The 24,444-nt window shown below is 34.8% G+C and overlaps 1 protein-coding gene across 14 annotated transcripts in view; it reads left to right on the top strand.

Annotated features, from left to right (window-relative positions):
- Positions 1-24,444, top strand: part of TMEM232 (transmembrane protein 232) — a 351,524-nt gene that overhangs the window by 310,722 nt on the left and 16,358 nt on the right. For 9 of the 14 annotated variants that reach the window (XM_047417493.1, XM_006714670.4, XM_011543555.3 and 6 more), the window contains 2 exons: positions 3,317-3,410; positions 7,477-8,737. The exons of 1 other annotated variant lie outside the window; for it this stretch is intronic. In XM_047417493.1, the coding sequence (XP_047273449.1) occupies positions 3,317-3,410; positions 7,477-7,653 (271 nt within the window). In that variant the 3' untranslated portion in view covers positions 7,654-8,737. Of the gene's footprint in view, positions 1-3,316; positions 3,411-7,476; positions 8,738-13,583; positions 13,629-14,024; positions 14,483-24,444 lie in introns of those variants that run through there. 4 more of the 14 variants (XR_007058620.1, XR_001742181.2, XM_011543565.4 and 1 more) reach the window with 4 other exon arrangements.

The raw sequence follows: 24,444 nt of genomic DNA, 5'->3' as shown, positions 1-24,444 counted from the left end.
AGTATCCTTATAAAACATGTCCTTAAGCTATCAAAACAATTGAACTCATGGACATAGAGAGTAGGATTGTTACCAGGGCTGGGAAGGAAAGTAGGGGGTTGGGGGAAAGGTAGGAATGGTTAATGGGTACAAAAAATCAAAAGAATGAATATGACCTACTATTTGACAGCACAATGGAGTGACTATAGTTAACAATAACTTAATTGTACATTTTAAAATAACTAAAAAAGTATAATTGGATTGTTTCTAACATGAGGGATAAATGCTTCAGGGTGTGTATAACCCATTCTCTATGATGTGATTATTATGCATTACATGTGTGTATCAAAACATCTCATATACCCCTTAAATATATACACCTACTGTGTACCCAAAAAAATAAAAAACAAAAAATTAAATGTCATTGTATGAAAAAGAACAGTAGAAGACACCCAGAGTCACAGAAGGAAAAAGCCACGTGGAGACAGAGACACAGACAGGAGTGAAGTATCTACAAGCCCAGGAATACCAAAGAACCAACAGCCACTAGAAGCTAACAGCGGCAAGGAATAAATTTTTCCCCAAAGCTTCTGGAGTATCCAAGACTGCTAACACTTTGATTTAGAATTTTTTTTCCTCCAGAACTATGAGAGAATGAATTTCTGTTTATCTAAGCCTCCTAGTTTGTGGTAATTTGTTAAAGTAGCCCTCGGAAACTAGTATACCATCTTTCTTGAAAAGTCTCTCTCTACTGTTCATTTAACTTCAAATGTCAAAATTCTACATCTCATTTAATGCCGACAAAATTGTCTAGTCCTCCATTCCTTTTTCTTACAATTGATAATACAGCTAAACACCATGGCTTTTTCCTCTGAATTCTTTTGACAATGAATATGATAAAGATATTGCAGCTGAAACTTGTTTAATGTTTGATTTATATCTAATTCCTTCTTATTCCTTGTGAAAACAATAAGGCAGGTGCTATTATTTTTCAGTATTACGGATGAAGAAACTGAAGAACAGAGGGATTAAATAACACTAAGTAGTAAAACCAGAATTTGCTTTGAGATTTGCCTAAGTAGAGAGCCTATATGCTTAGACATTTTACTATATATTTTTTCTGTTTCTATCCCTGAATGTTTACTTCTCTCGTGTTATCTTTCATTATGTTCTCTATAATTTTTTATTTTCTAGCACAAAATTCAACTGAGGTAACTAAGAAATCACAGATGTATAAGCATATTCATTTGTTTTTCCCATGTTAAAGGTCTTTTGATATTATGTTGCCTACATTTTTTAAAACTTAAACAATTCTTGTTCAAGAAAAAATTTTAGGCAATTTGCTTGAACACTTTTAACCTTAAAATGATTTTAAGATTCTGTTTTATTTATCTTTTTATAGCATTTGGCACAATTCTTTGAATACCAAAACTGCCCAAATTTCACTGAATGAATTTAGTTAAACCAATTGTCAGCCTCTACATGTCCCCAGCTTTCTAGGATCATATTTTTCTGTAATACAGTACTTTAATAGAATGGCTAAAGGCCCTATTCTGCATGCATTAAGAAGCTCAGTGCTTTTCTCCCACACAATGTTTCTGAATATTAATTAAGTTGGGAGAGGGTTCCATTTTTCCTGGTTGCCTGTAACTTCCATTGTTTTCTTTTGAACTCCTACTGTCAACTCTACTCTCAACATGTCTCCTGAGATTGCCCTCCATTTGCAATACTGGATACTACTCCACTAACACAAGAGTGTTGTGTGGTAGACTCTTACTGATGGCTTGGAAAATCAAGAGTATTAAAGCATATCATAGTTCTCATTTATTCATTTAATCATTCAGCAAACATACAAACATTCATTAAATATCTAGTGGCACTGTGTTGGGCACTGAGGAAACAATGGTAAGCAAACAGGCAAAAGTATCCATGATCATGTAGCTCATACTCTACTCAGGAAAACATAAAACTCACACAGGGACATGATAAATGTAAAATTACAACTTGAAGTAAGTATAAGGAAGAAAATATCCATGGTAGATTGAGAGCTATGGTAATGGGCTTGAACTGAGAGCTGAAGGGTGAGTAGGCATTAACCAGCCCTGCAGCAGGGCTAGAAGAAGGAGAAAGAGAAAGGCATAAGAGAAAGAAATGACAGCATGTGAAAACAAGCAACAGTGGGATGGAACAACCTACATTCCAGCAACTGCAAGAAAGCCTGTGCATTAGGGATGCATAGACCCAAGCAAGCAAAGGAAAGAAAGAAGTCTGGAGAAACCAGGCAAAACCACTTTAACAAATGCACAGTTTACTTCAGGCTTCCTTAACAAATGTAATCTTAATCTTAAAGCTAATGGAGAAATAATGAACAGTTTGATGTAGGAGATTGACATGATCTACTTTGTATTTTGAAAACAATTCTGGCTACTGTATAGAGACAAGAGTAAAGTGGGTAAGGAATGATGGATGCAGGAATTCTGAACATGAAGCCTTCATCCAGGTGAGAGATTATGGTGGCTTGGCCTCGGGAAGTGATGGTGGAGATGAAGGTAATTGGGAAGATTTGAGAAGCCTTTAGTGCAGAATAGACAAACAGAACCTGATGAAATGAGGGGACTGTCGGGTGTCAAGAATGTAGAGTACACTGGAATGGGAAAGGCAGAAACCAGAAAAAAATTAGTTCCAGTCTTAAAAATTGACTAGACTTTTTTGAATATGGAAATTTCTCACTGGCTGCCTCTTTTTAGGCTCTTCCCTAAGACTTTCTCCTTTACCCCCACTTTCCCACCCTCAAAACCACCTTCTATCACTGTATTACTTTAAGTGTTCCTGGATTCACACAATTTCTTCATAATGACTTTAATAATACAATAATTATGTGGATAATTTAACACTAAGTCTCCCTTAGTTTGAGGTCCAGCTTTGTACTGCCAACAATTTCACTGAACTATGCTAATCTGTCTACCACAATTCCACCCTTAGTAATACAAAGACTTTGGAAATGTATTGAAATCACATCATTTTTTTCAGCATATCTTAGAACAAATTCTTAGGCTTAGGCTTCCACCAGAACTTTCAGGGTTGTGGAGCTGTGTATGGGGATATGCACTTTAATCATCCTATATGTCATGTCCTACCCTCAAAATTATCAGTTTCAGTGACCCAAGATGGCTTACAAAACCTAAAAGCTAACATACCATAGTCTACACAAATACTTTATGTTAACAATGAAGAATCAAAATGCTTAATAATAAATTATGGCTTAGTTACAATTCTATTTCTGGGGAATAGGAGTACCTATACCTAATGTTGGATTTGTTCTTGTGCTCTTTTGAAGGGAACATCCTTCTGTATCAGAAATTCCCATGTTTCCATATCCAGATTTCTTCACCAAGGCAGATAAAGAGTTGGCAAAAATCATTGACCATCACGTAAGATTGATTTTTTTTTAACTAGCAGCAAAAGCTTTGTTCCTTAAAAGCACTTTAAATGATAAAATGTAGTTCTGAGACTGAAACCTTAATATGTGAAATTTAAAAGTAGAGCCATGATTGGTTTGCCAAACTGAATTATATCTCACTATGTTATCTGTACACCAGTGTCTTCATTGGGTTGCAGAAAATTTGACCTTCTGTCATTTGTAAAATACTAACCTAATCCTGTTTTCTGAATTAGTACTGATTTCTTGTGACAAGAATCTTATATTGAACACTGAACACTGATTTCTTCTGCAGTGTAGTTCTAATAACAGAACAAAAATCTTTTGGCTCAATTTTCAGTGACCGTTCTTTACCCTTGACAGATCAGAAAGACTGTTAATCACTTTGTTCTTAGTATGAGTTTAAAAAGCAGTGGCAATACAAGACTATTCACAGAAGATACTTTAATTCATTGTGCTATATTTTGTTGATAATTTCTTAACCAAATACACATCATTTTATGCCTCGTTCTTTTAAAGAGTAGAATTAAAATATGAGAGAAAATGCTTTTCTGGTTTTTTCTTTGAATAAAATATATAGCATATATAATGCACTTAATTTTATCACCAGTAGTTCAATATTATCTCTCAGATTGCAATTAAATTAACAATTAATTTTTTCACACTACTTTTAAGTAGTAATCTTGTGAAGAGATTATTTTATTTACTGATCACATTAAATAGTTTTCACCACATCTCTAGTAATTAAGCCACTCTAGCAACAGCTATAAGTATTGGGCTTTGGAGACTGACTGATACCTTGAAATGACAAAACGAGAGCTGCAATATTCTATTATTCACTAATAAAGTTTTTGTTAAACCAATATATGTACAGGTCATCTTCAAAAATTTCAAATGGTTTATAAATTTCAACATCTATATTTTCCTACTCATTACTTCAACTAAATTATCTAGAAGAGATTATGAAATAGCAGTTTGCCAACATCACATACACACATACACATACACACACACACACACACACACACACACACGCACGCATAAATAACTACTTTGGTCTGTCTAGGGCTAAAGAAACAGAGGAGAGTATTATGAATGACAGAGATACAGAGATAGCTCCTAACAACCATCCATCATCTTTTCCTTTTTCCAAGGGTGTAAGCACTATCCAAGTAATCACTGCCATGAACCTGCTTATATTGTAGCTAAAGAAGGATAAATAAATCTTTTTCAAAAATATGCTTGAAAACTTATAGATCCAAATTGTTTGATGTGCGGCTAGCCTAATAAACTAGTAATTCATAGTACTGATTTTGGAAGGTTTATTGAATTGTCTCTAAATATTATATTTATTTTTTTCAGTATTCATGTATATATCACTTATTTTCAGATGGGTGTAGCAATAGTGTTTTGTATTTATACTTTATGCTTTACAAAAATGCTCTTGCAGTGGTTAATTTAATCCTCACAACCCTATAAATCATTTACAAATAAGAACAAACTTGCTTACAATTCAGTTACTTGCTCAATGTTTTAAGTAAATGAGTCTATTCCCAAAAACAGATTTCCCTACTCCAAATCTACTTTCCCTTCCACTTTTTCATAGCTGCTGAAGTTCTTGGCTTATGATTCCTAACCAGAATTAGAAGTGGGAGGATGGGATCTGCAATATCGACAAATAACAAAAACACATCCCCTCAGCTACAGATATAATTCTCCTTCTAAGCCAACAGACTTTTGTTGAAGGGTTATCATATGCAGGGAATAGAAAATATACCTCATTGCTTAGGAGATATTAAGGTACCTTATACATTGCTAGTATTCCATAGCATGATCATTGAATCACTGAGTGAATAAGTTGAATAAAGCAGTAAATGGTGCTTCCATTTCCCATAGATTTCAAACATATCTATTTTTTTGCTTCCTTCTAGCTACCACAATAGACAATAATAATGGTATATAAAGTAAAAAAATACAATTATTTACCCAAATTGATCTGTTGTCATGGTCACCAGAGACAAAAAGAAAGTATGCTTTTTCCTAAGCCTAATGAAAAGAAGGATTTTGATGTTATGGTGAATTTCAGCCATTCCAAATTCTAAGAAGGGGGAAAGAGGGAAGAGCTGTCTTCTGGACAGTGATGATATGATACCCCTTCTTGGCTGCTTTTATATGTACTGATGCTTTTATACATGCTGTTTGGCAAACCAAGAATTTTAATTTGCTGGCAGTTCTTAAGAATTAATTCTCTTTTGATTTTTCACAATTTTTTTTTTTTTTTTTTTTTTTTTTTTTGAGACAGAGTCTCGCTCTGTGGCCCAGGCTGGAGTGCAGTGGTGTGACCTTGGCTCACTGCAAGCTCTGCCTCCCGGGTTCATGCCATTCTCCTGCCTCAGCCTCCCGAGTAGCTGGGCCTACAGGCACCCGCCACCACGCCCGGCTAATTTTTTTTGTATTTTGTTTAGTAGAGACGGCGTTTCACCGTGTTAGCCAGGATGGTCTCCATCTCCTGACCTCGTGATCCGCCCGCCTCAGCCTCCCAAAGTGCTGGGATTACAGGCGTTTGAGCCTAAAAAACAAAATAATGAGATCTATCGAAATATTTCATACAGGATAGATTAGTGCTCTTTGTTTATAGATACTGTCATTATTATACCAACTATAACTTCTATGCTAATAAAATTGGTAATTTTCTTAAACAACTAGATTATTAGTTTATTATATGAGAAAAATAATGTGTCATAGTTGAGTATCATAGAACTTGTAGACTAAACCATGGCATGAATTTCAGCCTGTGCCTGACTATTCTGGAGGTTTTGCCTTAATTTCCCATACATTTTATGCAAAACTGGTTCCTGAGAAACCGAACATATGAGAAATAACTGTTTAGAAATACAGCCTTAAGATAAGTGCAGTTAACTTTTGTATTTCTTATGTAGTTAAAACTCACCTGGGAATAAATAATGGATTTGATATTATTATGCTTTTATTTTTAATGTTTAACATGAGTATATTAACATTATACACAATTTTAATGCATTCGTCAAAGCTGAGTGACATGCTATGGACTCTGATGTTTAGCTCTGCTTTTTATTATCTGAATATCCCAGATGACAAATGTTATTTGTGATTCACAGTACTGGTATATATAGTAATCTACAAATTAATTGATAGGTTGATAATCTTAGACTGATCATTTGTGTATATGCATGAGCTGAGGCTGACAAAAAGACAGCATTGGCAGTATCTTTAGGAATGTCCAATATTGCATACTAGGAGTCATTCTGCCCTGAATGTTTTACCCAACATAAAGTGTTCACCATCTGTTTTTATCATTTCCTTCATCAAATGTATTAGAAGAGAAAAAAAGTTCCTCCTAATTATATATATATATATATTTTTCATGATGATGTTTGATTGATTATCATTACTTACGTGTTACTCATTCTTATGGCTCTTGCCTTCCAATATACTACTATTTACATGACATCATGGGTTATAAAGTGAAAAACTAAGTGAAAGCAAAAGAAAAAGAAAAAAATTATCATGGCCAATTAAGATAAATTCTTTAGAGCTTTTTTTCTGGCCTTCTGCATAGTATGCATTTACCTGACCATTAATTTCATTTTTAACTTCATAGAGAATAGTATTAGAGTTTTTGCCTTTCTGTTTAATTTGTATTTTCTGTATTTTTTCTTTCTGTTTTGCTTTCATCTCGTTCTTCATTTTATAACCCATGCTGTCATGTAAATACCAATATTGATGAAGAACGTAAAACCATTTGGAATATGGAAATACAAAACCTATAATGTCTTCTTTTTTATTGTTTTTTTTTTTGTCTTTAAATATATTGAGGAAATTCTGCTTTGTGGGACTTACATGCATTCTAATAGGTGACACATGTGTTTTGCCAGTGTGGTAGATATAAAATTTTTGAGGAATGTCATGGAAAAAACCTGAAAGGATAATTGGATATAAGAATCTGCATTTTGAGCAGCTAAACTGATATGCATTTTTTCATGGAAAATCATGTGAATGACGTTTTCTCTCTGTAACAGTGGCAGGAAGAGCTAAAGATCCGAGAAAAAGAAGATGCAATATGCAAGGCCCAAGAACTTAAAGATAAAAAGTTAGCAGAGAAAAATCACTTTCAAGAAGTTATGAAGAAAAGAGAAGAGAAACTACATAAGCAAACCAAGCCCTATGAACTTCCTTATAGGAAGGAAGTAATTTAATTAGAAAAGAAAATGTCACCTCCCAAAATTGAGGACTACATGGCAGAAATACATAGGATGAAAAATACCAAGATAGCTACATAGTAAGAGAACTTTCTTGTCATTAAATGGAGGTATTGTTTAGAAAGAATTTGTTTTCCTGATACAAGCTGTTTGTTTAATAGTTATTTCTTAGTTCTAAATTAATGACCAACTTTTAATCACACTTGAATGAAGTGATTTCACTAGTCAAAAATTTCCAAGACTACATCTAGTATTTTTCTCAATTGACCTTTATCTCATGATTGTACAGCATACTTGATAACTGATTCTCAGAACATTGATATTCATCAAACAAACAGTTTGATGGAAATTCATTACAAATTAATTAATGGGTCACCAGATAAGAATTATTTCTTGAAAACAGAATGAACATAAACTAACAATCCTGTAATTACTATTATTCAAATAAAAACAGTATGGCATCTTATTTGATTGGCATTTTATAGTCAATTTATACCAAACCAAACAAACCCTATTTCAGAGATTTGAATCTGGGAGGGCTGGTCATCTTAGATTGATTGGCTTGATCTTTAACAGATGCCAGAGGGGATTCCTGAGAGATGGTGGTTTTACTCTGTTCTGTGAGTTTATGAGAATGAATTCTTATGAACCTGGAAGGTCCAGGAGCAACTGCTGAAGACATTCATAGAAATAGGAGTTATTTTAGAAATGGAACTTCACTTCATCTGAAGTTCTGAACCTATGAGTAAGAGTAATAGGGTGGAGTTTTTGTGATGTCTTATATTCCTTTCCTGAAAACTGAAAAATATAGATAATACTCATACCTCGATTTCACACAGATGACTTGGTGATACTCAAGAGACAGAGACTTTTATCAGGGGTGTCAAACTCAAATGACTACCAGGTCAGAAAGGTAACATAAATTAGTGAAGCCGGCTAAGGAATACCTATCCCATATAGAGAAATTTCCCATCACTCGGTTACATTCCAAAATGTATGTCAGTATTGTAAAATCATCCAGCCTTTCAAGAAGCTTTTAAATGGGATTATTTTTCAAAATAAAAGTAGCTAAGTAACCAAATGTTGGCAACTAATTTTTTAATAGCATATTTTCAAGTTAAGAAGTTTTATCCATGGGCCAAAGTTTGTGACCTATATTATGTGAATTTAAGTATCATTCTTTGTTTAAGATAACAATAACATATGGCAGAAAAATGTTGCCTGTAGGTTGCTGTTTTGATTTCCTGTATAGCTAATTCAAACTTATGTTTCTCTTTCTAAACCTTTTATCTTATGCTTGTGTTCTCAAATGGAGACTATGCAAGTTCCTAGAAATATCTCCCAATATACCTTTCCAAATACCTTCCTCCATCTTTGCTTTCTTCCCTTGTGCAAAGGAAAAAAAAAAATCTATAGAAGACCAGCTAGTCCCTTTTCTCCAAATCTTCTCTCTTCCAAAATCTTGTTCCATCAACTATTCACTATCTCCTTCTGAGTCCCTCTTCATCACTCACTCCTAAACCCATCAAGGTTTCAATTTTCTCCCATCCTTCCATCCAAACCTCTCTCTCATTAAAGCCATCAGTGACATGAGCCTTACCAAACTCTGAACGTCCTTCTAATTTGTAATCTTTTTATTGGTTTGTAGCAAGATATAACAACTAAGCTCTAAGGTTTAGTAAGGGGACTCTGGAGATCTAACTGCTACTTAAAAGAATTTCAACAAATCCTGCTGTTTCAGCACCATCTTTGTAAAAGAAACCTGGTATCTCCAATTTCTGAAACTTTCTAGCATTCTGAGGCATGGTCCTTAAGGCCTCCTCACTGCAGACTTAGGTTTATGTTTGCTCTGATTAGCGTATTTCTACCTGTTCACCTTCTTTCTTACTTCCACGATTTTCTTAATACTTCCAACATGCTATTATCTTTTCTTCTTGTGGATTCATGCCTTTTTTTAAAGTAACCCTTTTTATGTCTTAGTGGTGACTTGGAAAGGAGCTAAAAAAATATTTATATATAGATATATAGAGAAAGGAAGAAAAGGAGAGAGAGAGATGATTAATCAGAATACTGACACCTTTATTCTTAAATTATTTTAAAATTCTTAATATTTGGCAACATGCATTTCTCATGGTCTTTCTCCTATTTCACTGATTCTTTTTGCAATATTAGCAAAGACTGTGGGGTGTAGATCTGGAATCACACTCTAGTTACGCCTTCTGCCAACTAGGGAACATTAGGCAAGTTACTGAACCCGTTTTTATTTCCATTTACTCATTTATAAAATTGACACAATTTATGTAAAGAGTGATATCATTTAGAAGCTAATTAGGAAAGTAAACAAACCTGTCAGTCATTTTAACAGAGAGAATTTAATGTAAAAAATTATTTTCAAAGGTGTTAGAAACTGAATAAATGGAAAGGGAACATAGAAATAACACTGAAACAGTAGCTGCTGGAAACTGCTACCACATTTGGAGCCATGGAATCAGAGAGAAGAGGTTTGCATTGTTAAAATCGAAGGGATGTAGAAGGCACTTCACACAGCCGGACTCGGATCCTTGACAGGGAGACATTGCCCAGTTATTGCTGGTACTTTTGAGGGGGCACAATACAACTGGTTCTGGGAGTGCAGAAAAAAGTGAAAACTGAAACAACTTGTATCTTGCTGAAACCACACTATCAGAAAGAGTGAGAAAACTGGAAGAATCAGGTATTTTCTTCCCTCTCATCCTGAAACTCTTCCTGATGTGCTTCCTGTTCTCCGGCATCACAAAGCAGAGAAAACAAGGGTGGACTTGGAGATGAAAGACACTAGTTAAATAAATGAACATTGTATGGCTTAGAAGGTTATCAGACCATTCAATAAAAGTTAACTCTCCTTTCTTTTCTTTTGCATCTTTGGCCTTGTTTTCTGCTTATTTATTTTACCCCGGACAAAAAAAAAAAAAAAAAAAAGAAAAAGAAAAAAGTTTGAAAGAAAGCATCACCTTTTAAGTTTATATAAATGGCTTAAAAATAAACTTTACTATACTTTAATAACTAATTCTTAATTCTTCCAAAAAGTTCATTTAACACAAATTCAGTTGGATTCTTTGTAATTTATGTTTAGTATTCACTTTGCTTCAAAACTCACAAAGGATTCTGAGTCATAGACTGGGTTGGGTACCAGATAAATTATTTCAACTACTGTCTTATTGTTCAGCTTATGATTTCTCAGCCTTAGTTGTTTTCCCATTCTTCCCACTTTGAGTTGATAGGAGAAAAATAGAGAAAGAGAAAGATTCTACATGTCTGTTTACCTTGCATGGCTCTTAGTCACCTTTAAATGCCTCTACTGTTAAAAAGTGTTAACGTATCTCAGGTCTAAAGTTCTATCTAAAACTTCTTTCCATGCTGTTTTATCATTTATGCTTACGTTTATTTTGAAAGAATAAACTCAAGACTCCCTACATTTATTTATTATGGGTTTCATAAGTTTCCATAGGTTTCTCTTAGTAACCACGAAAGCAATTTCTCTTTCACACATGCTGCCTCATTGAGAATACTCATAAAACTTTTAAGGTTTTAAGTTTCACTAGTGTTAGAATACTGTAGTAAATTCTGAGTAACAGAAGCATGAACATAAGCTTTTTTCCTGATAGAATTTTGTTTTGAAAAAAGGAAAGCAAATGATTTATAGTGGTTTGTGGGGTATACCAAATAGACATTTAAGGAATAAAATATCTAAAATATCTTGACTCATGCATTGATGAGTGGGTGTTTGGAGATAGGGAGCATAAAGAGGTAACAGATAAAAATAACTCACACCAACAGTTTTAGAAACTATAGTGATGTTTACCAATTATAATTTAAGTAATTGATTCTTTTGTTTCTACCAGTAAAAACCTTCTCTGTAACTGTCTACTAGTTAATTATTTTCTGAGTGTCCTTTTTCATATTGCTTCTAGTTGAGAAGAGCAGTTCTATAGTTTCACTGAACTTTGCTTCCAAATTTCAAAGTTAGCTGATTGGAAATTGCTTTGGGGTTGCTTTCAAACGTTATCCAACTGCTCACATACTAAGTTTTCACTTTGTGTCTGCCAGTGACTCTCAATTAAAGTCACCATAGTCTCCTCCAGCTTCTTCATTCTTCTTCACATCTCAATTTGCTGAAGTAAAATAAATAAGAACACCCCTATTTGTTTTATCTGTGATTAATCAATGACACTTGTCACCTCCTCTGTTGGCTAAATATTTAATACAAAGGAAGGTAGAGTCATGAAACTGTTGTGCCAATGCCTCTGTAGAAAAGACATGTGTAGGAACAAATTCAGTCCACACAGTACTTCTCAACCTCAGGTTGGCCACTGGAGACTAGGTATCTGTAAGGCTCCTTGTACTGATTCTAGTTATTAAATTTGACATGCAGAATGCATTTGGAAACTTAGAGCAAAATGCATTTTAAATTATCTTCTATAATACATTTATATATTTGTATAGTTTTACAAATTCTGTTGATGACTTAAGTTACTTTTCTGCTACATGCATTTTTCATGGTGACACAGATTTCAAGGATAATTTGGCTTGTTATTTTTTTCCTGTTTCACTGAAAAGCCAAAATAAAAATAAAATGTCTTTTCAAAACATTTTTTAGTTGGAAGATCCCTGTGATATCCAACCTTCCAGTAACATTTCCGAAGCTGACTCTATTTTGGAAAGGGGGTGAATCATCTTTCATAAATTAACGAATAAGGTAAAGGTCAAACATCTCAGAATCACCAGTGCAGCTTTTTAATACATAGCCAGACTGTTAGCAATCCAGTAATGCTTTGAATATTGCTTCAAAACACGAAGAAATAGAAAATCTGAACAAACCAATCGGTTAATCTCTAGCTCTAGCTTTTTGCTTGGCTTCCCAATCAAAAGCTTCCCAATAAAAAGCAATGACTAGAGAACACATACAGTAGAATTTCTTCCATAGCATACATTCTCCATCATGATAACTAAGTCATGAGACTTATGGCCTCATAGGAAGGCATGTCTTAAGGAAGGAAAGACTCAATCTATTCCAAGCAGAGACATTGTGGAGGGTAAAAAAAAAAAGTTGGGGTCGGGCACGGTGGCTCAGGCCTGTAATCCCAGCACTTGGGGAGGCCAACGTGGGTGGAACACGGGTCAGGAGATCGAGACCATCTTGGCTAACACAGTGAAACCCCATCTCTACTAAAAATACAAAAAAATTAGCCAGGTGTGGTGGCAGGCGCCTGTAGTCCCAGCTACTCGGGAGGCTGAGGCGGGAGAATGGCGTGAACCTGGGAGGCAGAGCTTGCAGTGAACCGAGATCGCACCACTGCACTCCGGCCTGGGCGACAGGGTGAGACTCCATCTCAAAAAAAAAAAAAAAGTTGGAGAGAAAGATAGATTTAAGGGTGCTTGATGTCCTTACTCTGTACCTCAGGAGAAGGGGTGTGGGCTAGAAACATGTAAATAGATAAGGAGCCTGAGTCTGACAGGTTAGTAGCATTAGCTCCTGCAGGACTGAGGAACTGTTAAGTCACTAGGAGGGATATTGTATGCAAACATTTTCAATGACACATGCAATTGTCAGGGTGAGAAGAGAAGCAAAGAAGCAAATGATAGGAGACAGGTCTCTGGTATTAGCACATTAAGACCAAATAGACAGAAATTAGATCTACTTCAGTGCACATTATTGAAGAAAGCATACCAGTTTATCCACTCTACAGTTGAGGTCAGGGAGGAGTAAGTGAACATTGGGAAGATTTAAGGACACGGGCTCCCATCTACTTCCTTACACACACCAGACCTCTCCCTATAAATCTAAATGCCGTATTGGAACAGAGAATGGAGGGAAAAGGAATATAAAAACCAAAACAGCTATCCTAAAGAAAGCAAATTAATATTTAAAAGCTCTCTTGATTTTCTAGATTGGAGTCATTTTGAAACTGACTTACTGAGCTTCGTCTTGGCCTGGCTACAAGAAAACCAGCAGAGGGAGCCTCATGAGGAAGAACTGAATGGTTTTCTAAACCTCTAGAAACTAAATTTTCTCTTTATAGTTAAAATGTGGTATAAAATTAAATTTGCCTCTTTGCAACATATATATGAACTGATATTTCACCATATAGATAGAGATAGAATTAGAGATATATGTTCTAAACATGTATGCATCAATCTAATATATGCAATCACTCATTCAGAAAATATTTGTTCATTGTCTGCTGAGCTCCAAATACTTTTAGTCACTGGGGATATATCAATGAATCAATGAACAGGACAGAAAATATAATACTGTACATATTAAAAATAATGCACTTGTATGTGTGTGTGTAAAACAAGCAAAAAATAAAAATATGATATAATTTCAGGTAGAGACAAGTGAAGAACAAAAATAACAGCAGGAATGACCTTTCTAAGGATTTTGACAAAGACCAGAATGAAGCGAAAGAGTGAGTCATCTGACTTTCAGAGGAAAGAGCATTCCCCAAACTATCAGTAGCAAGTGAAAAATTGATAGAGTAATGATTCATGCTTTTTGCTAAATATTTCTGCTTCTCCCTCCTTTGAGATTCACGGGAGTGCTTTCTATTTTCTGGCTCCATTGTGTTGTGGTGGGTCATATGGTTATTTCTGGCCAATGATTATGGACAGAAGCTATGTGTGTCACTTCTGGGCTGAAGTATTTACTTGTTGGCTTGACAATTTACAGTGTCTTTTTTCCCTTTAGAATAATAATTCCCTTTAGAACAATAATTTCTGTTCAAAATAGTGAGTCCCCTCTTACCTTTGGCTCCCTTAATAAAAATGATGGAACTGAGAAGGAAAATCTTTTCTGTTTTAAGTGTTTGAGATTTGAGGAGTTACATAGTACTACACATAACCCAACATATCCTGATGGAATGGGAGTGAGTTTAGAATGCTCAAAGAAAGGCAAAGAATCCTGCAGAGCTGAAGAAGAGGCCCCATAGGGATGGAGAGGAGATGAAATTAGAAAGATAAGTTTGGTCCAGATTATGCAACAAGGGAAGCCATCCTGTGTCAGGGTTCTCTAGAGGTACAGGACTAATAAGATAGATGTATATATGAAAGGGAGTTTATTAAGGAGTATTGACTCACACGATCAGAAGGTGAAGTCCCACAATAGGCCATCTGCAAGCTAAGGAGCCAGGAAGATAGTCCAAGTCTCAAAACCTCAAAAGTAGGGAAGCCAAATGCAGCCTTCAGTCTGTGGCTGAAGGCCTGAGAGCCCCTGGAAAACCACTGGTGTAAGTCCAGGAGTCCAAAAGCTAAAGAACTTGGAGTCCAATGTTCAAGGGCAGGAAGCATCCAGCACGGGAGAAACATGGAGGCAAGAAGACTCAGCCAGTCTAGTCCTTCCATGTTCCTCTGCCTGCTTTTTTTCTAGCTGCACTGGCAGCTGATTAGATTATGCCCACCCACATTGAGGGTGGGTCTGCTTTCCCAGTCCACTGACTCAAATGTTAATCTCCTTTGGCAACGTCCTCACAGCCACACCCAGGAACAATACGTTGCATCCTTCAATCCAATCAAGTTGACACTCATTATTAAATATCACACATGGATTTCAGGTTAGATTTTTTACTAAGAGTAGTAGAAATTATTGCAAGGGGATGATGAAACAAGCAACTTTAGCCTAATGTGTAAGGCTTTGAAACTTATGTTTTAAAACTTTTTTAAAAAATTAATATTTAATACACTGAAAGTTTAGTATGCTTTTCTAAGAACTTACTACATAAAACTGATTTTAGGAGATGAAAATATTTAAATGTAATTCAACAACTTGGATAAGTTACAGTATCAAATAACAATGGGTCCTAGTATCTTTCCATTTGAAACATTAGAAATTTATAAAACAAAAACCCCTTAAAACCAAGTCAGGGGTCTGAAAATTTTCTTGGGAAAAGATGGGTTATAAATTAAAATACACATAGTTTTATGCTACAGGAAGTTTCTCTTCTTGTCATTGTTATTCTGATAAAAAAAAAAAAGAGTTTGGCTATTTCTTTGCAACTATGGAGTTAATACAGTGGTGTTGATTTTTTTTAAGTCACATATTCGACATATCAATGGTCATGATTGCTTCAACCCAAGCGAGAAAGGTGGAAATTGAAATAGAGGCATGATGGAGCTCTCAGAATGCCCATGTTCAGGTGTTTCAATGATTTTCATTTACTTTACAGTTGGCATATCAATGGCAAGAAAATTAGGTTTGATTGGATTTGGCAATAACTTTCCTTTATGATATTTTCAAGGGATAGGATTGTTCAGGGTTGAATTCCCAATTATCTCCTGCTGTCAGAGGCTGGATAAAACAAAGCCTTCGGCATCAAATGTAATTAGCTCTATTGACTTATGTTTTTAATGTTAAAATTATATTCCTTTTTGGGGAGGATGAACAAATACCCCCCTTTCTCACTATACACTAATATCCTTGAAAACTGAGTGGATTTGTTTGGCAACTTATTTCTGTGTCTCTGAGATCAAATCTCTGAAGAGCTCTGAGATCAAAGCACTAAGAAGATGGGACACAGGATGTAACATGAATGTTATTTTGAAAATATGAAACTAATATATATTGTGCATTTTATTCTTTCCCTCATAAATCATGTTTCTTCATCATAATTTAGATATTACAGTACTCAAATAGAAGAGGGTACACCCATATTCATAGCAGCATTATTCACAATATCCAAAAGGTAGAAGCAACCCAAGTGTCCCTCAGTGGATGAATAGACAAACAAATGTGATATATACATACAATGGAATATTACTCAGCCTTTAAAAAGACATTCTGATACATGCTACAATATGGAATAAACTTAAGGGCACCATTCTCAGTGAAATAAGACTATTATGAAAAGACAAATACTGTATGATTCCACTTATATATCTGTAGTGGTCAAATTTATAGAAACAAAAAGTAGAATGGTGGTTTCAGGAGATGGGGAGGTAAAAATGGAGAATTGTTTTTTAATGTTTTAGTTTTATATGATGAAAATTTCTAGAGATTGCTCAACAATGTAAATATACTTGACACTACTGAATTGTATCCTTAAATGGTTAAAATGCTAAATTTATGTTATGTGTATTCTACCACAATTAAAAATAATAAGATATATTTTGAAAAGGAAAAGAGATAACAAATATCCTATCAAAAAGGAGAAAGAAAGGAAATAATCCTTATTGATGGAAAAAATGAAGAAAGTACACATCCCAAGACATCACACCATTGAACCCCTGGAAAAGAGTGGAAAACAGAAAATAAAATATTGGTATGGGAGAGAGCTCCAATACCTGTATCTTTGTTTCCTTTCCAGGAACATATACTGACATAAACATCCAGGAGGGGTATGGGAAGAGCTGGGAGCATCAGGGAGACCAGAGATAAGCTGCCCCTACAGCAAACTAGAGGAACATGGGCCTCTAGGATAGTTCTACATCCTTTTTATTCGTCATGGTGCAGGGATATTTTTGCAGCATTTTCAAAGGAAGTGGCTGATTGCATGAGTCCAGGATACTTCTCATCCCCTATCCAGTATGAGAGGGCCAGGGATGAAGAAGGTCTCACAGGCTGAGAGGGTTTCAGAAAGGATTCTTAACATAATGTCCTGAGAAACAAATAGTACCTACACACATCATCTTAGAGAAGCAGAACAGCATCATCATAAAGACAGAACATAGGCTCCAAAGTCAGAATGCCTGGGATTTGATTTCTGTCTTCTCCACATTCAAGCAATGCAAACTCAAACCAGTTGACCCACCTCTCTGTACCTCAATTTCACTTCTTGAAATGTGGTAATACTACTACCACCTCACTTTTTTGTTTAAGGATTAAATGAGTTTATACACCTGAAAATCCTGTCCCAATACCTGGCACGTAGTTCTCAATAAACATCAGTCATTATTCTTTGCTTTTATTGTTATTGGAAAGGAATATGAGAACTATTAAATATAGATTTCTCAACATTGTCTAAAAGAACTAAGTTGCCCAACTTTAGACAGCAAGCCTATATAGCTTGTATGTTCTGCCATCCAATTGAGTGTGGCTTAGGAAAAAATATTATATCAGTTCTTAGGAGTGAAAAAAGATAAAGGTAAATGTTTTTTGTACATTGAGTGTAGTGTAAGTAAATTTTGATCCCACTGTAGAAGAGATATTCCTTCAGTATCCTCAAGCTGTGTGCCTGAATCTAACATTTGTGGAAAGTGAGAGAAGGATGCAACTAGAGGCCAAAATACCGTATGCATGAGTATTTAAAACATACATTAAGCTAATAATAAACTGTTAAATAAAATATGTTTTAGCCTTTTACTTTGAAAACTATACCTTCACAATGAATTGGAAGGCCACACTCAAATTTAGAATTAACACAGAGTTCCATGCTGGAACTTGGTGAGAAAGGAAAGCAGGCTGTATTCTAGCCTCTGACCTACCTCCTTTCTCCCACCAGTCTCTGTTCTTCATGAGGTGTAATGCGCAAGCATTTTGTCAACATACCCTACCCATGATGAAGCTCTATCTATATTCCTATAAATAGACACTCCCTGCCAACTTCTCAGGCCAACGGATACAGACATCAGCAATGTGGGACTTGAAGCATGGTACAGTTGGGGAAGGGGATGGGGCTTTAGTTAGGCGTGTTCCCTTAGTATAGTGAACTCTTTGCCTTATAGGGAGGGCCTTGGCTAGAAGACCAGAGCAGGATTTGCTAGCGTTTGGGGCGCAGAGAAAGAGCTCCTCTTGCCTGCTCTATGAGTGACAATGTGCACAAAAAAATGATTCCAAATCTTTCAATTATAGCTAAAGGGCAAAATCATCCAAAGTTAGAGACCATCCCAACCCTGAAAAAAAAAAGAATATGTAGCAAGAGCTAAAGATACTCAACAGATGGGGGAACAGGAATGACATAGAAAGTTATCTCTAAGGGCTTTCTTGAAATCAGGCATTTTGAAAAGAGTAAACCTCTTTCAGAAAGAGAAAACTAGCTGTGGCAACAGCAACTCAGACTGTGAATGTACTGACCAGAGATATATCATTTTCCAATGCTTCTAAGAATCACATTCATTATAAATTTAGCATCTTAAAATTGAGATGTTTCCCATAATTGATAGTGTTTTACAATTACTCTCAGCCAAGTGACAGTTGTGACATGACTGTCAGGGCCTGTATGTGCATGAACTTGATCACAGCTATTCACAACCAACCTTAATTAACATGAGTTGTGTGCATTGTTGGCTCCATATAAGTTGTGTTGAATTGCTATTTAAAATGTCTCCAAAAAGATTATACTATGATTTGGCATTGAAAAAAGAGTTTGTGTGCAGACAGACATAGAAACCAACAGCAGGACATAAATGGGATATTAATGAAATAAATGTTCATTATTGGAAGAATACCTGCCACTTCATATTTGTTTGCAAAGTAACAACAAAGTAAATTCTGGAACTTAAAGATACCCATAAATAGATGAAGCTGTGTAACATGTTGTTACTGAGTTTATTGGTTAGCTATTGCTACAATAGTGTTGCATAACACCATCTCAAAACTCCATGATTTAAAACAACTAATTATCATGCATGTGTCTCCAGGTAAGCTGGGGTTCAACTGGTCTAGGTAGGAGTTACCCAGAAGGCTTGGCTTCTCATGTCTCTGCTATACATGGCTCTCATCCTCCACCTGTGATGAGTGGTGGGCTAGGTGGGCATGTTCTTTTGGTGATGGCTGATAGCAAAAAAAGTGCAAAAAGAACAAGTGAAATACTGTTGTTCATAATAATCTCTAATGACTCACTGTATTTCAGTGTTCTCGGTTGTTGTCTCCTTTTTTACTCCTGATGTTACTTATTTGGGTCTTCTATTTTTTCTAAGTCTAACCAAAAATTTGTGAATTTTGTTTATATTTTTAATAAACAAACTTTTTGTTTCACCTTTTGGTTTTTTTGGGTCTCTGTTTTGTTTTGTTTTTTGAGACAGAGTCTCACTCTGTCACCCGGGCTGGAGTGCAGACACAGCCTCGGCTCACTGCAACCTCTTTCTCCTGGATTCAAGCAATTTTCCTGTCTCAGCCTCCCTAGTAGCTGGGATTAAAGGCATGCACCACCATACCCAGCTAATTTTTATATTTTTAGTAAAGACTGGGTTTCACCAGATTGGCCAGGCTGGTGTCGAATTCCTGACCTCAAGTGATCCACCCACCTTGGCCTGCCAAAGTGCTGGGATTACAGGTGTGAGGCACCACCACTGACCTTGTATTGTTTTTAAAGTCTCAGTTTCATTTATTTCTGCTCTGATCTTTATTATTATTTTCCTTCTACTAATTGGTTTGTTCTTGCTTCTCTAATTCCTTGAGGTGCACCATTAGGTTGTTAATTTTGAAATCTTTCTACTTTTTTAATATAGGTGTCTATTGCTATAAACTTCCTTTTTAGTTGTATCCCATAGATACAACTTTTTGTTGTATCTTTTGTTGTATCCCATAGATTTTGTTGTATCCCATAGATTTTGGTGTGTTGTATTTCCATTTTCATTTGTTTAAAAAAATTTAAATTTCATTCGTAATTATTTCATTGACCCATTGGCTGTTCAGGAGCATGCTGTTTAATTTCCAAGGTTGTGTATTTTCCAAGATTCCATCTATAGCCATATCACCCCAAACGCATCTAATCTTGTCTGTATTTTCCAAGGTCCCTCTGGTTTTTTGATGGCTAATTTTATTCCATTGTGGTCAGAGATAATACTTGATATATATTTTTAAAAAAATTTGTACAGGCTTGTTTTGTGGCTTAACATGTGGTCTCTTCTGGAAAATGTTCCATGTGGTGATGAAAAGAAAGCGTATTCTGCAGCAGTTGCATGAAGTGTTCTGTAAATGTCAATTAGGCCTATTAGATCTAATGTGTAGTTTAACTCTGCTGTTTCTTTGTTATCTGTCTGGATGATCTGCCTGTAACTAAGAGTGGGCTGTTAAAGCCCTATACTACTATTATATTGCAGTCTATCTCCCCGTTTAGGTCTATTAATGTTGGCTTTATATATTTGGGATCTTTGGTGTTGAGTGCATAAATATTTATATAATTATGATATTCTCTTGCTAAATTGACCCCTTTATCAATATATAGTAAATTTGTCTCTTTATAATCATAGATTTGTAATCTGTTTATATATATGATATGAATCTAGTTACTCCTCTCTTTTATGGTTTCCATTTGCAGGGAATATCTTTTTCTGATCCTTCACATTTAGTCTACATATGTGGGTTTCTTGAGGCAACATGTAGTTAGGTCTTGTTTCTTTATCCATTCAGCTATTCTTTGCTTTTTCAATGGAGAATTGACACATTTACATTCAGTGTTATTATTGATAATTAAGGAGTTATATAAGGTATATACTTATTACTTATACCAATATGTGTTATATTGATAAGTAATAAGTAACTACTATCATTTTATTGCTGGTTTTCTGATGGTTTTGAGACTTTCCTCTTCTTCCCTTTCTTATTGTCTTCCTTTGTAGTTATTATCTCTGATAGTATGTTTTAAATTGTTACTGTTATTTTTAGTGAATCTATTTCAGATTTTTGCATTGTGGTTGCGATGGGGCTTACAAAAAACATTTTAAAGACATAACAAGTTATTTTAAAGAGATGGCAACTTATCTTAGAACACCAAAGAATAGAAATAAGCAAAGGCAAAAAATCTACAATCTAACCTCATTTCCACTACATTTTGATTTTCAGTTTTCTCAATTTACATTCTTAAAATTACCTCTTAACAGGTTGCTGTAACTATGATATTTTTAATATATTTTGTCTTTTGTGCTTAATACCAGAGTTATGGGTGGATTATACACCATAAATATAGTAATAGGGTATTTTGGGTTTGCTCATGTACTTAATTTTACCAGTGGGTTCATACCTTGAAACGTACTCCCTTTAGCATTTCTTGCAAGATGAGTCTGGTGGTGCTGAATTCTCTCAGCTTCTGTTTGTCTGTGAAGGACTTTATCCATCATATTTGAATAACAGTTTTGCTGGCTATGATGTTCTGAGGTTGCAGTTTTTTTTAATTTGAGCACTACCATATGAATCAGTAATTGGATATTTATTCAAAGGAAGAGAAATCCATATATTAAAGGTATATCTGGACTCTAATCTTTATTGCAGCACTATTCACAATAGCAAAGATACAGAATCAACCTAAATGTCCATTAACACATGAATAGATACAGAAAATATTATATATAGACACATATGTGTGTGTGTGTGTGTGTGTGTGTGTGTGTGTGTGTGTGTATATATATCTGTGTCATAGGTAGATGAAAGTTGAATTATATAAGAAAAATTCAAATGTTTTCCATAATTGGCATATCATTTTATAGCTACCTCAGATATGTATGAGAGTTCTATTCAGTCCATATCTTTACCAATATTTAGATGAATCAGCCATTCAGCTGTCTACTGGTTTGCAGTGTTCTGATGAGAAGTCAGTCATAATTCCTGTAGCTGTTTCTTTGTATATAATGTTTCTGTTTTCCCCTGTCTGTTTTTAAGATTTTCTCTTTCTTTTTGGTTTCCAGCAGTTGACTATAACATGCCTATGTGTGTTTTTCTTCTTTCTACTTGTAGTTTGTTAAGCTTTTGGATCAATGTATTGATAATTTTTTATAAAATTTGTAAAATATAAATTTTGGTTGTCATGTTTAAAATATGTTCTATTTTTTCTTTCTCTTTTTTCTTTATTGAACTCCAAATACAAGCGTGCTAAACTTCTTGATAATTCCAGGAAGTTACAGATGGCCTGTTTACTTTTTCCTTTTTTTTTTTTTTAAACTGTGTCCTTCAGTTTGATGTTTTATATTGATCCATCTTTGAGTTCATTGAATCTTTCTTTTACAATTTACTTGAAGACCCATTCAACAAATTTTTATTTTCAAATATTATAATTTTAACTTTTAGAATTTTAATCAATTTTTTTTATTTTACAACTTCCAATTCTCTCCCACAATAGTTCATCTCTTTATCCATTTTTTCCTATAAATTACTTAATATATTTTTCACAGTTATGTTTAATTCTGGACCTGCCTAATCTAATACCCGGAAATTTCTAGCTCAATTTATATTGACTTTTTTTCTTGGTGATGGGACATGTTTTCCTGCTTCATCACATATCTTCTAATCTTTTATTGTATTATGAATATGGTGTATAAAATAATACTATAAAAATTTAATTTGTTTTGGTTCTTTGACAGTGAATGCAAGCCACTGCCCCTGTTTGAAAGTTAAGGGAAGGTACTGGCATTCAGAATCTTTATAATCAAATTGAGCCTGTGCTACATCACAGCATTGACTTTACCTGTGATCAGCCTGCTTCATTTTTTCAGTATCACTAGTCTCTTTTTTATCTTGCTTTATATTCCAAATGAGAGAAAGTTGAGATGCAATTTAAAATATTTTTAGTTCACCTTTGGATTCAATTTGGTCAGGGCTTCAAAATAGAAGCAACACAAAAATATGTTATTTCTTTCTGTTTATCAGCTTCTCTTTCATGGCTGAATTCTTGATAATATTCAGACAGAGAAACTTATTGGCTGAAAAATTTGTTTTTTGCTTGGAATCTTCCAGATTCAAATATCTCCTGCCATCACTGTGTCATCTAAAGCTTATCTGTTTTCTTTTTAACCCTGCCGAGTCTCTTCATCAACATCAGGCCTACACCTCCACCCACTCGTATCCAGACCAGGAGCTGTTCCCTAGGTAGAGAAGTTGCCATGGTACTCTAACTAGGAAGCACTTGTTTTTCTTTGGAATTCAGTTCATCAAGGCTTTATTATATCTACAATTCCTTTTTCGCCCCTTAGAAAATAAGGTTTACTTATCCATTTTGTCAATTTTGTTGTTTTTACCATGATTTGAAAAGATTTTTTAGCTCTTCTTCATATAAACTGGAAGTGGAAGCCAGATAAATATTCATCATTAAATTTCTATTCATGGTTTTATATTCTTTTCCATAAAAGTTCCCCCAATTTGCCTAATCTTTAGGGCTCACATATCTAGATCTGCCCTGAATAAACTAAAACACTTTTTTCAGAGTAGAGTTTTTAAAACCAAGGAGACAGCAAGATAGACATAAGATAAATATTACATGGGATCTGAATAAAATAGTTTTTTTCTCCGTTATCTTTTACTTTTTCCTTGCCACCTTCTACTCCTTTCTCTTTACACAGGAAACAGAAATAGAGATGAGGATAAAATGTCCTAACAACACAGTAGGCTCAGAAAGCAAGGATGAGACTATGTTGGAGGCAAGAAATTTGGATGGACATTAGAGAAAGAAAAAACAATTTTGAAGTATATTTATATTTGACATTATAAGTTAAGCCTCTAGAAAATTTCAATGTCAAAATTAAATTTATACATCAAATTGGCCATATTTCATTTTGAAATAAAAATGGCGAGATGGGAAGAGGGTGCAGGCATCCTGTGGCAAGTTTGGTATTAAAGAGGAGTGAAGAGAGAAAGGTAAGACTGTGGTAAAGGGGCAAGTTAAGAAGGAAAATTCATTGAAAAGTCCTACCCCGCACCCACATCACCATTTTGATCTTATAACTAATTCTTCTTTGCCTCTCTTATCTCCTAGCATGAAGAATTTGCTTAAAGTTATAACCAATGCTGCTCAGCACATTTCTTCATTTCCACACCTTCACTCCTCACATTGCTCCCCACCCCACCCCACACACAACTGAAAATCAATTTACAGGTCTCTTCAACTC

The sequence above is a fragment of the Homo sapiens genome, chromosome 5 (genome assembly GCF_000001405.40).
Source record: "Homo sapiens chromosome 5, GRCh38.p14 Primary Assembly".
NCBI classification, from domain to species: Eukaryota; Metazoa; Chordata; class Mammalia; order Primates; family Hominidae; genus Homo; species Homo sapiens.
Note: the sequence above shows the minus strand (reverse complement) of the source record. Positions and strands in the feature narration are given on the sequence as shown.